Source organism: Homo sapiens, chromosome 5 (genome assembly GCF_000001405.40).
Source record: "Homo sapiens chromosome 5, GRCh38.p14 Primary Assembly".
Lineage (NCBI taxonomy): Eukaryota > Metazoa > Chordata > Mammalia > Primates > Hominidae > Homo > Homo sapiens.
The window spans coordinates 157670474-157685205 of NC_000005.10; the positions used below are offsets into that span (position 1 = coordinate 157670474).

At 48.3% G+C, this 14732-nt stretch overlaps 2 protein-coding genes across 3 annotated transcripts in view, besides 2 other annotated features; one reads left to right on the forward strand and one right to left on the reverse strand.

The window, feature by feature from the left end:
- SOX30 (SRY-box transcription factor 30) overlaps nt 1–1007 on the reverse strand; it is a 45802-nt gene extending 44795 nt beyond the window's left edge. The window contains exon 1 of the mRNA NM_001308165.2: nt 857–1007. The gene's annotated coding sequence lies outside the window, so the exon portion shown is untranslated. The remainder of the gene's footprint in view (nt 1–856) is intronic.
- Nucleotides 468–9685, forward strand: C5orf52 (chromosome 5 open reading frame 52). Of its 2 annotated transcripts, XM_011534416.3 has the most exons (4): nt 468–841; nt 1132–1353; nt 4619–4727; nt 9368–9685. In XM_011534416.3, the coding sequence occupies exons 2-4, from the start codon at nt 1142–1144 to the stop codon at nt 9524–9526; spliced, it is 480 nt and encodes a 159-aa protein (XP_011532718.1). In that variant the 5' UTR covers nt 468–841; nt 1132–1141; the 3' UTR covers nt 9527–9685. The 2 variants fall into 2 exon arrangements, with proteins under 2 accessions (XP_011532718.1, NP_001138604.1); NM_001145132.2 differs by lacking the exon at nt 468–841 and having other exon boundaries at nt 1060–1353.
- Nucleotides 725–1282: an enhancer, noted in NCBI's record as "H3K4me1 hESC enhancer chr5:157098206-157098763 (GRCh37/hg19 assembly coordinates)". NCBI's record gives its function as "activates a minimal SCP1, AML or CMV promoter by ChIP-STARR-seq in naive H9 embryonic stem cells {active_cell/tissue: H9 hESC(naive)}" and the evidence as "EXISTENCE:reporter gene assay evidence [ECO:0000049][PMID:30033119]".
- Nucleotides 748–857: an enhancer, noted in NCBI's record as "active region_23528". NCBI's record gives its function as "activates an Ori minimal core promoter by ATAC-STARR-seq in GM12878 lymphoblastoid cells {active_cell/tissue: GM12878}" and the evidence as "EXISTENCE:reporter gene assay evidence [ECO:0000049][PMID:35858748]".
- Nucleotides 9686–14732: the final 5047 nt, after the last annotated feature.

Below are 14732 nucleotides of genomic sequence, written 5' to 3' on the forward strand. Positions count from 1 at the left end.
TAAAAATGATAACTATTTTTCTTGCTTTGGATAGGGAAGTTAAAATGAAGGGCTCTGTGGAAGTGAAGTGTGAAGAGAGATCTATTCCAGGTCGGAGGCTAGGGAGTCCCAAGACCGCCTGAAGAAATCACAAGAAATCTGAAGAACTTTTAGCTTGAGGGAGAGGGAGGGGAGAAAAAAATAGCAACTCGTTAGCAGTTCAGTTTCACCACTTTACAGCCTATGAAGTCTTTGGCTTCCCTCATCTGGTTCGATCTTCAAACCTAACCAGACCGGCATCTAGAGTTAATATTTCCATTTTACACAAGAGGGAAGTGAGACCCAGTGGGAAAAATGACTTGTTCAGAGTCATAAAGCAAAGTCCGGAAGCAAGTCTTTCTGGTCCATTATGTGTGGGAAAAGTAAACAAAAACCGCGGGGCGTTACCGAAATATTAGGTTATAAACGTGGAACAAAGTCTAAGAGTTAACGAGAGCGAGGCACCACTTATAGGGGTGGGCCAGGTAGGTTTCCCGGGGGAGCTGGCATTGGAATAGGCTTCTTCGCCTGCTCGGTGTCAAGACCCCGCAGGAGATGGCGGATTCATTCAGGAAGCAGCCGCTCCGGGAAGCCTTAGCCAAGGGTCTTCCGGAAAGACACCAGTCTTGATCCTGGAGCCTCAATCCCCGCTGACCCAGCACTTTGGTTTCCATAGCAATTGTCTCGTCGCAGAAAGGAATCGCCTGTGCTGGGTCTTCAGACCTCAGCTCCATGCCGCTGAGCAGCCCCACCCTGGCTCAACCCGTTACCCGCCCCGCCAGCAGGCCGGGGTCACTGCAGTCCCCACGTCGAAGCGGAAAAGGTCTGCTCAGCTCACCGCACCCCACTTCTTCCAGACCCGTCCGTCTTCACAGCAACGCGCCGGGTCTCACCACGGCGGATGCCGAGGGACAATATTACCGCGTCCGTGGCCGCCGGACTCTGCACGCATGTCCAACAGCCCCCGTCCCCTTCCCCGCAGCCAATATGTGTCTCCCAGGCAACGCGCCGCGCTCGGTTCAGGGCTCCGCCCAGGGACTCACTCCGCGTCAGCGCGCGCCCACCTAGGTGGGCTGGCAACCAGCCACCAGTTTCCAACTCTTTCTCCAACAGGGAAGCCGCAATGACACAGCCGACTAGGCCCTCGGTCACCTGTGACCAGGGATCCTCCACGATCGGCGGGACCGCCGCCCAGGCGACCACCAGTTCCAGCGCCACCTCGGGTTCGAACTACCAGCGCGATAGACTCGGCCGCCGCCCAGAAATCGGCGTAGGGGGTCAGCCGCAGATCTGCTTTCCGCGGCCGAGGTCCGCGCAGCAGCCGGTGCTGTTCAGGTGTGGCCCGCATGCCCAGAGCGTTCGTCAGACCCTCGGACCCGCGAGGGAACCCTAACTCTTTGGGACTCGCGCTCCCCTTAGCCGGACCCCGGCCCTTTTTCACACCCCAGGATAGTCGATTTCTCGTAGCCCCGGGCACCAGCACCTTCCCAGTCTAGCTCTTCGGATTCCCCGGAGCCCGAACTCCCTCGCCCCGGAATCGCGGGAGAACCTGGAATCCCCATCTCCACTGACATTTTCTCAGAATGACATCTCCACTGACATTTTCTCAGAATCGGTCCTGGCCCGTCAGTCCCCCAGGCATGACAACATGTGGCCGCAGTGCCCTAGGGGGATGAGCCCTGACTCTTAGAACCTGGCGAGGCCCAGGTCCTCCCAAGTTCGAATCCGTCTCATACGCCCCTTCTCAGCCTCTCTTTTCCCCGGTGGTCCTGGAAAAAACCCCAGTTCCCTCTGCCTGGCCCGGATCCTCACAAACCCCAATTACCCGCGCTCCTTTCCATTCCACAAACCCCCCTCACTGCATCCTTCAGGCCCCTGTCCATGGAGAACTTGAGGTGGAAAGCAATTTGGTTCAAAATGACCTTTATTACTTGAAAGGGAATATTTCCAGTCGTTGCCACCCTCTTCCCCTTCTAGTATTGGTAAATTTGGTGCACCCACTGAGTGGGTGAAGAGTTTTATGTGTCCTTAAATGTTTTAGGGATTTTTTTTAAACAACAACAACAAAAAAAAACCAGGATTTGGGGGACTTTTGTGTTTGAGCATCTTGATCTCTAAACCAGCCTTTTCCATCACCTCATACCTAGGCTGTGCATAGGTCAGAAAAATGTAAATGGGAGACTGGGAAATTGGATTGTTCATATTAGTTTGTAAATCTAAAAACATACACGACACTCCGGGTTCCAAATTGGCTGAAAATGAATTGCAATTCTCCTGCCTCAGCCTCCTGAGTAGCTGGGATTACAGGCGTGCACCACCATGCTCGGCTAATTTTTGTATTATTAGTAGAGGCGGGGTTTCACCATGTTGGCCAGTCTGGTCTGGAACTCCTGACCTCAGGTGATCTGCCTGCCTCTGCCTCCCAAAGTGCTGGGATTACAGGTGTGAGCCACTGCACCCGGCATCAGTTAGAAAAAAATTCTAGTCCTTCAAAATGTTTCACCCTTCCACAGTTGTCTTTTTTGTCCTAATTATAAAAGTAGCATACACTTATGGATAAATAAGGCCAGGTGCAGTGGCTCATGCCTGTAATCCCACCACTTTGGGAGGCTGAGGAGGGTGGATCGCCTGAGCTCAGGAGTTCGAGACCAGTCAGGTCAACATGGCGAAACCCTGTCTCTACCAAAAATGCAAAAAATTAGCCGGGCATGGTGGCTGGCCTGTGGTCCCAGTTACTCGGGAGCCTGAGGTGGGAGGATTGCTTGAGCCTGGGAGGCTGAGGTTGCATTGAGCGGAGATTGCGCCACTGCACTCCAACATGGGCGACAGAGTGAGATCCCATCTCAAAGAAATAAAAATAAAATAAAATAAGAAAAATAAGACTAGCAGCATGATTGGCTAGGGACAATCACCGTTAACATTTTGGTGCATTTTGTTCAGGCTTCATTCATATATAATATATATATGACAACATACTTATACTTAAAAAACAATACATCACAAAAAGTTCAGTTTCTAGTAACCTGCTTTCTTCTCCCATCTAATACACCACCCGTGTCTATGTTTCATACACAATTACATGTATTTTATTTTATGACATACCAAAATTTATTCAATATTGTACATTTTGTTTCCACATTTTAGAAAGAAAATATGAACAATTTTTTTTTTTTTGAGACGGAGTCTCACTCTGTCGCCCAGGCTGGAGTACAATGGTAAAGTAGTTCACTGCAACCTCCGCCTCCTGGGTTCATGTGATTCTCCTGCCCCAGCCTCCCGAGTAGCTGGGATTACAGGCGCTCACCACCACGCCCAGCTAATTTTTGTATTTTTAGCAGAGATGGGGTTTCACCATCTTTGCCAGGCTGTTCTGGAACTCCTGACTTCCAAGTGATTCGCCTGCTTCAGCCTCCCAAAGTGCTGGGACTACAGGCGTGAGCCAACTTGCCCGGTCCTGAACAATTATTTTTAAATGGACAAAACCATTTAAAGATATATGTTCATAAGACTACTTCGTGGTGTAACCAAATTATCAAAAAGTGAAAACTCAGTGCCTGTAAGTGTATCCACTTTTCACCATTTTCTCATTTTGACCAAATTGTTGTATTTTCACCTGGAGTACTTGGCTCCATTCTACCCCACCCCACCCCATCTTTCACCTCTCACCTTTCAGAGTCTCCTAAAACCCCTAGCCACCCCATACCTCCTTCACTTTTCTAAACTCCCCAAACTTTCTTCCAGAATTTCCCTGTTAACCAGCCTAACACCTGTCCAAGCTTTTCATTTGCATTTCTCCCTGCTCTGATTTATACTCCCCCAACCCCCCACCTCCCAGATCCCCTTGAAGCATATGCTCTAGAGCAAGTGCCCCCCAAGCTAAACACCTCCCAGATTCATCCTTCTGAATCCTACCCTACAACTTTACTCCTCTCCTCTAAGACTCCTCTCACCATTTCATCCTTAAGAAGGATCATCAAGATGACTGCTTTTGGCTGGGTGGGCGTGGTGGCACTTGCCTGTAATCCCAGCACTTTGGGAGGCTGAGGTGGGTGTATCTCTTGAGGTCAGGAGTTTGAACCCAGCCTGTCCAACATGGTGAAACCCCGTCTCTACTAAAAGTACAAAAATTAGCCAGGCATGGTGGCGAGTGCCTGTAGTGCCAGCTACTCAGGAGGCCGAGGCAGGAGAATTGCTTGAACTGGAGGTGGAGTTTGCAGTAAGCCAAGATTGCACCACCACACTCCAGCCTGGGAGACAGAGTGAAACTCCGCCTCAAAAAAACAAAAAACACAAAAAGGGTGACTGCTTCTGAGGATGGTTCTGAGTTCCTGATAACCCTTCTCTTAAGGACTGCACTAGGCCATTTTACATCCTCAGAATGGCTTTTCTTCTGGGTAACCATGAAATACCCCTTTAGCATACCTTTTCCACAACAAGAAACTGTGGTTACTCCCCTGTTCTTTTGAAAATTATGACAGAGCTGCACTTGTCCCAAGAAACCCGGGGAAGCCTCAGCCACTCCCTCAGGACCCCATCAAATGTGCTCTGGCCCAGGCCCCAACCGTCTGTAACCTGTGCCACCTTTCCCTCCCTGCTCCAGCTTAATGAATTCCAGTGAAGCAGCGATGAAAAAAACTTTACCCAAGAGCCATTTATCTCGGGTGATTATTCATGATAACCGCATCACACAACGAATCTATGAGATGGAGGTAAAGTAGCCACAAGCTTTTGCATTAGAGGGTGTTAGTGGCTTGACCCATATTCATTTCATTCTCCCTATATGCTGGGATATCATAGAGGTGATAGGGAGTCATCAAGGTGCTCTAAGGCAGGCCCCATTTTACAGAGGAGGCAATTGATACTCGGGGTTACTGACTTGCGCAAGGTGTCGCACCTGTTCCTGGGCTAAGGGAGCCAGAGAGAAAGACTCCATGTCTCTTGGGTCTTTTTTTCTGAAAGCACATTATCTCTCTATTTAGGGAATCCATGAATGGATTCTTATTTTCTCCCATACAAAGTCTTGGGTCCTAGGCCACACGCAGTGGCTCATACCTCTAATCCCAGCACTTTGGGAGGCTGAGGCAGGAGGATCACTTGAGGTCAGGAATTCGAGACCAGCCTGGCCAATATGGTGAAATCCTGTCTCTACTAAAAATACAAAAATTAGCCAGGTGTGGTGGCAGCCAGGTGTGTGGCAACAGAGCAAGACTCCATCTCAAAAAACAAACAAACAAAAAAACAGAAAACCAAAGTCTTGGGTCCTAGAGTTTGAATGGGCCTCAACACCATCTTGTCAATTTTTTCCTTTGGGGATTATCCCCATTTTCCAGATGAGAGCTGAGGCTCTTCTCCCACTTTTTGCTATGGACAGGTAGAGTTTCACCTGCTTACTCGAAATCCTGAGTGCTGTCACCCCACTGTTCCCATAGACCCTGATTGATGGATTCATTAAACCTGTCCTTAGGGCCTGCTTGGGACAGGTACTGTGTTGGGCGCTAGGAAGAGACAAGTGAACAAGATGGACTCCAGAAACACACTCATTCTTTCAAGCAGAGCAGGGTGCCCAGGGTTGAGCTGCTGCCACCTTCTTTTCTTTTTTGAGACAGAATTTCATTCCTGTTGTCCAGGCTGGAGTGCAGTGGCGCTATCTCAACTCACTGCAACCTCTACCTCCCGGGTTAAGCAATTCTCCTGCCTCACCCTCCCAAGTAGCTGGAATTACAGGCATGCACCACTACGCCCGTCTAATTTTTGTTTTATTAGTAGAGACGGGGTTTCACCATGTTGGCCAGGCTGGTCTCAAACTCCTGACCTCAGGTGATCCACCCACCTCAGACTCCCAAAGTGCTGGGATTACAGGAGTGAGCCACCACGCACAGCTGCTGCCTGCTTCTTGACTCTTTTGAGCTTCCTTCCATGTTCCAGGGTCAAGTCTGGATGGGCCCACAAAATTCTAACATTAAAAACAATTGGAGATCCTTAAGAGATGGTGCCAGATCCTCTTGAAGGTCACAAACACCAAAAGAAGAGTAGGGACCCGGGCATTTCTCTTTCTGCTACACTTCCATGGGTGTGGTGTAGTGGAAATAGATGGGCAAGCCAGCTTTGTGTGACCCTGTGTGAATTACACTTCCTCCAGACTCTGCTTTCTCATTTGTAAAATAGGATCTATTAAGATCCTCTCAGTTGCAGGTAACATAAACTGAACTTGAACTAGTTCGAGCAAGATAGAGAAGTTGGGTTTACATAATCAAGGATGGATAGGGCAGAGTCGCCAATGTTTTTGGGGAAAGTAGCCAGGGGCTGTACTACCACCAGGTATGTCTTCCATTCTCTCTCATCATCTTTGTATCCCCTTTTTTTAATTTCCTTTTTTTTTCTTTTTTTTTTTTTTTGAGACAGGGTCTCACTCTTTTGCTCAGGCTGGAGGGCAGTGGCATGATCACAGCTTGCTGTAGCCTCAACCTCCTGAGTTCAAGCAATCCTCCCACCTCAGCCTCCCAGGTTGCTAGGATTACAGGCACGTGCCATCATGCGCAGCTAATGTTTTGCACTTTTAATAGAAACGGGGTTTCACCATATTGCCCAGGCTGGCCTCAAACTCCTGGGCTCAAGTGATCTGCCCATCTCTGCTTCCCAAAGTGCTGGCATTATAGGCATGTTCCACCATGCCCAGCCCTTTGTGGCTTTCTGTATTTAGTAGGTAGAGGCCAGGGACACTGCTGAATATCCCGCAGTGTATGGGACAGCCCTCCACCACACACTGCCTAGCTCAAAATGTCAGTAGTGTCAAGGTTGAGAAACCCTGATTGGTAAGAGTCATGCTCAAGGTAAAATCACTAGTTGAGAGAGGCCAAAAAGCCTACTGTCATGGGGTGTACTAGAAAATGGTGGTAAGCCAGGGTGGTGGCTCACGCACTTTGGAAGGCCGAGGCGGGCGGATCACCTGAGGTTGGGAGTTCGAGACCAGCCTGACCAACACGGAGAAACCCCTCTCTACTAAAAATAGAAAACTAGCCAGGTGTGGTGGCACATGCCTGTAATCCCAGCTACTTGGGAGGCTGAGGCAGGAGAATTGCTTGAACCCTGGAGGCCGAGGTTGCGATGAGCCAATATCGCATAATTGCACTCCAGTCTGGGCAACAAGAGTGAAACTCCCTCTCAAAAAAAAAAAAAAAGAAAAGAAAAGAAAAGAAAATGGTGGTAATAAGGTTGGGCACAGTGGCTCACACCTGTAAGCCCAGCACTTTGGGAGGCTGAGGCAGGTGCCTCACTTGAGGTCGGGAGTTTGAGACCAGCCTGGCCAACATGGTGAAACCCTGTCTCTACTAAAAATACAAAAATTAACCTGGTGTGGTGGCTCAAGCCTGTAATCTCAGATACTTGGAAGGCTGAGGCACAAGAATCGCTTGAACCCAAGATGTGGAGGTTGCAGTTAACCAAGATTGTGCCACTGCACTCTCCCTAGCCTGGGCAATAGAGTGAGACCCTGTCTCAAAAAAAAAAGAAAAAAAGAAAATGGTGGTAATAGCAGCGACTTGGTAATGGGGCTGGATCAGAATAATCTCAGGTGCATGACAAAAGTGGAGATTGCTGGCCCCCATCCAAACCCTATTAAGCAAGAATCCTTGGGGCCTACGTTTCTATCAAGCAACTGAAATGCTTCTGATGCTCAGCCAGGTTTGGAGAACACGGACTTGAACTATGACATTTAGTGCCCACCCTCCCTCTTTAATTCCTCATGTCAAGTAATCATGTCAATATTGACTGGCCTTTATGAAGAAGTCCTTTGCTTAACCTTGTGCTAGGTCTTCAGATAATGTTAGTGCTTATCAGAATCCCCTGGAGGGCTTGTTAAAAAACGTACATTCCCAGGATCACCACCCACCACATTGTTTCTACATGCCCCAAACCCTCCCATCCTTCAAAACCTAGCCTCAGTTTATATGCTAACTTCTCTGGGTAGCTTTTCTTTTCTTTTCTGAGACAGAGTCTCGCTCTGTCACCCAGGCTGAAGTGCAGTGGCATAATCTCGGCTCAATGCAACCTCTGCCTCCTGGGTTCAAGCGATTCTTGTGCCTTAGCCTCCTGAGTAGCTGGGATTACAGGCACATGCCACCACACCCAGCTAGGTTTTTTTTGTATTTTGAGTAGAGATGGGGTTTCCCCATGTTGGCCAGGCTGATCTCAAACTCCTGGCCTCAAGTGAGCCACCTGCCTTGGCCCCCCAAAGTGCTGGGATTACAGATGTGAGCCACAGCGCCCAGCCAAGTGAAATTTGTCGTGATATCTCCCTTCCTTGAACTCTGTGCTTCTTTTGGAAGTGGATCACTTTCTCTCTTAGAAATATTTGGGCATGTGGGCCGGGCACGGTGGTTCATGCCTGTAATCTCAGCACTTTGGGAGGCCGAAGCGGGTGGATCACGAGGTCAGGAGATCGAGACCATCCTGGCTAACATGGTGAAACCCCGTCTCTACTAAAAATACAAAAAATTAGCCAGGTGTGGTGGCGGGCGCATGTAGTCCCAGCTACTCGGGAGGCTGAGGCAGGAGAATGGTGTGAACCCAGGAGGCAGAGCTTGCAGTGAGCTGAGATCGCGCCACTGCACTCCAGCCTGGGTGACAGTGCGAGACTCCATCTCAAAAAAGAAAAAAAAAAAGAAATATTTGGGCATGTGTCTTACATCCTGACTACATTGGAGTTACTGTGAAGACCTGTGGCAGTTTTTCTTAGTATCCTCTCCTGTAGCTAGCTCATTGGAGTAAATGCATAAGACATAGGATGTTGGCTTCCCACACCTTACCGCCTTTTGGGGGACAGGACAGAAGTTATACAATAGAAGAAATAAGTAGAATTCAGTGTGAGACAGAGTCTCACTCTGTTGTCCAGGCTATAGTGCTGTGGTGCGGTCTCGGCTTACTGCAGCCTCCACCTCCTGGGTTCAAGCAACTCTTCTGCCTCAGCCTCCCGAGTAGCTGGGATTACAGGTGCCTACCACCATGCTTGGCTAATCTTTGTATTTTCAGCGGAGACAGGGTTTCACCTTGTTGGCCAGGCTGCTCTCAAACTCCTGACTTCAAGTGATCCACCCTCCTTGGCCTCCCAGAGTGTTGGGATTACAGGTGTGAGCCACTGCGCCAGTCCTTGGAGTTATCTAGCTTAATGCATGCTTTTTACAAATAGAGAAATAGGCTCTCTGTGAGTCAAAGTATATGGAATGTACATAGGGTCCAGCTGACACTTTTCCCACTCCCCCATCAGTAGCACAGATGTCTGCCCTGCTGCGAAGTAATCCTAATCTCACCTCTTTAGGATCTTGATCCTAACCTCACCTCTGTTTTTTGTAAGGTGAGCGCTTTAGAGAAGACCAAGAAAAAGATCAGCCACTACTATGAACACCTGAAAAAAAAGTTCATGACAGAGCAGCTCAGAAAGCTCGGGCGATGGAGAGAGGAATCCGTGAACAGCAACCGGTACTTAACCTTCGGGATACCACCACCAGTTTAAACTCCAGTCTCCCAAGAAAGGCCAACCACCCTAGTTCTGGCAAAGGGATCTGCCCCAGGGTCACGATGACACCAGTGTGACCCGAGGAGAACTAGTAACTACAACCTACACAACTGTAGAACAATAAACAGAAACCAGCAGACAGCGGAGCATAATAAATCCTCAGCAATCCTCATATTCCTTGCCCATGCATCCCCTCTATTTGGTGAAGGAGGTCCTGATAGTCTCGTAGATGCTCAACTCAAAAAGGTGGGATCAAGCTAGCTTCCATGCTTAAGGCAAAGATTGACCTCTCGGTGCCCACATGTCTGAGGTGACATGCCGGGCCAAGTGTGCTGGGACAATGGTACCTTAGATGGAAGGCCTCAGTAATGCCACTGCCTGGCATTCCAGTGGTAAGGAGGTCAGGGGGAGGCATCAGAAGGACCTGGCTTAAGTGCTATTTCTACCACCAGTCAGTCTTGTGACCTTGTCACCTCCTTGGACCTCCATTTCCTTATCTGAAAGAATGTGGTAGTAGTAAGGGAACCTACCTCCAAGGTCTAGCATGAGGATGTAAAGTGCTGAGCCCAGGGCTCATCATTTCCAGTGGTTCTCACCATGATGGCTCCAGTAGCCTTCCAGTGGTCCCCACTCCCTGTTCTGCCTGCTCTCCAGACTACACCTGGATAGTCCCCACACTGTAGCTTTATTTGCGAAGATCCTTCATCTGGAATGTCCCTTTAGCTCTCTCTTCATCCTTCAAGGCTTATCTGTATGTCATTTCCTACATGGCATTTTTTTCTTTTTCTTTTTCTTTTTTTTTTTTTTTTGAGATGGAGTCTCACTCTATCGCCTAGGCTGGAGTGCAGTGGCGCAATCTCGGCTCACTGCAACCTCCGCCTTCCAGGTTCGAGTGATTTTCGTGCCTCAGCTTCCTGAGTAGCTAGGATTAAAGGCATGCGCCTCCACACCTGGCTAACTTTTGTATTTTTAGTAGAGAAGGGTTTTCGCCATGTTGGCCAGGCTGATCTCGAACTCCTGACCTCAGGTGATCCTCCCTTCTTGACCTTCCAAAGTGCTGGTATTACAGGCATGAGCCACCGTGCATGGCCACCAAAGTCATTTAATTCCTGGAGACCCCTAGCAGGAACACTTTCCAGCCCAGCGCTTTGTTAAGTCAGAAGTGTTACTCTGCCTATTAAAATTCTGGGCCTGGTCCAACTGCTGACTTTGAAAGTCTGCAGACCTATGAGGGCCGAGGGGACAGAGCCAGGGGCAGGCCTTGGACTGGGACCTCCTGCCTCCCTCAGTAACCTCTCTCTGGGTTTCAGCTCTCCCACTTGCTCTTCAGGAATGGTGGGGCTGGTGGGTGATTTCTGCACTTCCTTCCATTTCTCAGATCCTGAGATGTGGCACAGAGCTTTGCATACATAATGCTTCACGAATGTCTGCTGAGTGGAAGGAAACAAATCCTGCTCTGAGCAAAGCAAGAAAGTCCAGGCTTATCAAAATGATCACTCAGGGAGAGTTTAACTTGACTAATCACTTTACAAAGTGATTCCCAGTGGTATTCCTTATCCAGTCTGCTCATCCAGGAGCATTTTCAAAGCTTCTGTCACCAAGCCACTGTCATTCAAGTTGCGTCTTCCAGCTAATGGAAGTACCCCCATACAGGAGCTTTGTGCGATAGTCTTAAGTTTGGCCAGGCGCAGTGGTTCATGCCTGTAATCCAAGCACTTTGGGAGGTCCAGGTGGGAGGATCACTTGAGGCCAGGAGTTTGGGACCAACCTGGGCAACGTAGTGAGACCCTGTCTCTACAAAAAATAAAAAATAAAATGAAAAATCAGCCTGGTGTGGTGGCGCATGCCTGTACTCCCAGCTACTCGGGAAGCTGAAGTGGGAAGATTACTTGAGCCCAGAAGGTCAAAGCTGCAGTGAGCCAAGATCACACCACTGCACTTCAACCTGGGTTAGAGAGCGGAAACCCTATCTCAAAAAACAAACAAACAAAAACTCCCTATAGTTAAAAAACATTCACCTTCCACATCATCCAACACATGTTTATTTATTAATAGCTCCTTATACATACCAGGCACTCTTGTAGGTGCTGGAAATCATTAGTGAACAAAACAGACTCAAATCCTCTGCTTTCATGAAGGCACGATCCTCAGCTCACTGCAACCTCCGCCTCCTGGGTTCAAGCGATTCTCCTGCCTCAGCCTCCCAATAGCTGGGATTACAGGTACCCATCATCATGCCCAGCTTTTTTTTTTTTTTTTTTTTTTTTTTTGTATTTGTGTAGAGACAGGGTTTTACCATGTTGGCCAGGCTGGTCTTGAACTCCTGACCTCAGGTGACCTGCCCGCCTCAGCCTCCCAAAGTACTGGGATTACAGGTGTGAACAACTGCACCCAGCCAAAGCTTATATTTGAATAGTCTCGGGGTGGTGGAGAGGGGAGTAGGAAGAACAGGAATCAGATGAAACAGGAATCAGCTGCTGGAGTCTGGTGCCTCTGGCTGAAGGCAGGATGCCTCCTTTGGGCTTTATGGGGAGAATCTGGTTTGCACAGTATTTTCTCTGTACGATCCTTTGACATCTGGAAATGCTGTTCCCAAGCCTGGAAGGCTGTGTGTGTCCCTCCCTGCTTCAGTGAGGTTTCTTTTATCTGATGTGCACGATCTTTGCAGTCAAATGGCTCTGATTTGGAATCTCGGCTCTGCCTTGCAGAAAGAAGAACGTCATTTTGCCCCTTGGAGCTTCACCTTCCTCATCTGGAAACTGGGAATAATTGTAGTACCTATCTTATAGGCTTGTTCTGAGAACCCAGTTAGCTTGACAAGAACCTAGCCCAAGGCCTAGCATCTTGTAGGTGAATCGGAAGGGGGTTCTGTTGGGAATTGTAATTGTTGCGTTGTACCTGGAGTTGACACATACACTTCAAGAGGCAGCCTGGTGCTGGGGAGTGAGCCTTGGAATAAGAATCTAGAGGTGGGAGTTCAGCTTGTGTGATTCCTCAGTTTCCTCTGAGACCCTGAGCAACATACATTCCCTTTCTGAGCACTGATCTGCTCTCTTCCCTCATGTTCAGTTAATCCCCTAGGAGGAGGAAATTGGGTTGAGATAGATCCATATCCTCCAGGGGGCCTTGGAGCATCCCAAGCCAGCATGTGCCTGTTGGGAACCTGGTCAGGAGCAATGGTTGGTCACTGGGGTTCCAACCAAGCCTTCCACAGTTACTTCTGGGGGGCTGAGTGCACTCGTTCCACAAGAATGAAATGGTCACCAGGAAGAATTCTTCCTTAACTTTGTCACATTAGAGGGCTGGGAGGGCCTGATTCCCTGGAATCTGCCTTTTCAACCTGATTTCCCATACTTCTTCCCATGGGCCAGATCCCATGAATTCTCTCACTTCTCCAAACAGGCCCCTTGATTTTCCACCTTGGAACTCACTTTCTTCCTCCCTTCCTCCCTCCCTCCCTTCCTTCCTTTCTTCCTTTTGTTCTTCCTTTCTTCCATTTTTCTTCCCTCCTTTCTTTCCCCCCACCCCTCCCTCCTCCTCTCCCCTCCTCACTTCCCCCCACCCTTCCCTCCCCTCCCCTCCTCTTCCTCTCATTGCCCAGGCTGGAGTACAGTGGCATGATCATAGCTCACCACAGTCTTGAAGTCTTGGCCTCAAGTGATCCTCCCACCTCAGCCTCTTAACTAGGACTATAGGCATGTGCTACCATGCCCCACTAATTTTTTTCACTTCTTGTAGAGACAGGGGTCTCACTGTGTTGCCCAGGCTGGTCTTGAACTCCTGGCCTCAAGTGATCCTCCTGCCTGGGCCTCCCAAAGTGCTGGGAATACAGGTGTGAGCCACTATGCCTGGCCCACCTCAGAACTTTTGATTCTACTGTTCACCCTGAAAGGAATATAGATTTCCCCTCATTTCTACCTGAGGAAATTCAGCTCAGACCTTTCAGGGCCTGCCCTGACATGAGCTCTGCCTTCCAAGACTAGACTCTGTCCATCTCCCATCAGACTAGGAGTTTCCACCAGGCAGGGGTTGGACACATCAGGAAAACAGAGGCTTGGATGGATAACCCTTTCTTTGCAAATTGCATTATGCAGAACCAGCCATATTCTCTGGAGCTCTCAGGTAATTTCCATGGTGGTCCCCCCAACCCCTCATTGCTTTAGAGATTCTGCATACTTCACTAAGGAATCATTGACTCCTCTGAAAGATTTTCAGATAAAACTTGTCACTATCACTCTAAGCTGAGGTCACTAATTAATAGTCCTGGGACCAATAGCAGGGCATTGGTTTGATCAAACACTATGCTTCTCATGGTATTGAATTAAAGTACTTTGGGTGTGGTATGGAAGCTGCAGTTAGCTGCAGCTCCCACCACTGCCATCTCCCTAAACCCAAGTGCACTTAATCTCCCTGGCCCCTGAAGGTATGTGAGTTTGTGATCACTCCAAAGTGTTAGAACAGCAGTTCCTTTAAAATAACTAACAAGTTTAAAAACTTTAAAATTGTAATACAAGCACTATATATAAAATTCCATTTAAAGGGTATTCAATAAAGGAAAATTCCCCTCCTCCTCTCCAGGGCCACAGCAATAACCATTTCTGTGTGTCCTTCCAGAAATGTTCTAAGAGTATAGGCCCTTAAGATGCCCTTTATGGGCTTCATAAATTACGTGCAAAACTTTATTTTTATGTATTTATTTATTTGAGATAGAGTTTGGCTCTTGTCACTCAAAAAAAAAAAAAAATTAGCCAAGTTTGGTGGCACATGCTTGTAGTCCCGGCTACTTGGGAGGCTAAGGTGGCAGCCGTGACTGCACCACTGCACTCCAGTCTAGGTAACAGAGTGAGGTCCTATCTTTAAAAAAAAAAAAAAACAAGAAAAAAAATAGAAACAGAAAAAAAGAAGCCACCAGCCTGGCATTGCCCAGCTCAGTCAATAAAACATCCTTTTTTTTTTTTTTTTTTTTTTTTCAGGAAAAGTCATTACAAATGTTTGGCCAAGGGCAGGTCTAGCATGTCTCCCAGAAATGGGCCTGCCTTAGTATCCCTTATATACCCAGGAACTAGCTAGAAAAAGCTTGAAGGAAATCTGGTCTCAGTATAAACATGATGATGGATTTCACAGTGCAACAGTTGGGAGCCCGTAGTCAATTTTGCTTTCTGTAATTAGAGGTCTGTGGGGTGCATTCCTATGCACAGATGGC

Bases quoted from the DNA above. Each gene is read 5' to 3' on its own strand.
- C5orf52 (XM_011534416.3), top strand. From the start codon at position 1,142: ATGACACAGCCGACTAGGCCCTCGGTCACCTGTGACCAGGGATCCTCC. The intron at 1,354-4,618 runs GTGTGGCCCGCA...TCCCTGCTCCAG, and splicing joins CAGCAGCCGGTGCTGTTCAG to CTTAATGAATTCCAGTGAAG. The intron at 4,728-9,367 runs GTAAAGTAGCCA...GTTTTTTGTAAG, and splicing joins AACGAATCTATGAGATGGAG to GTGAGCGCTTTAGAGAAGAC.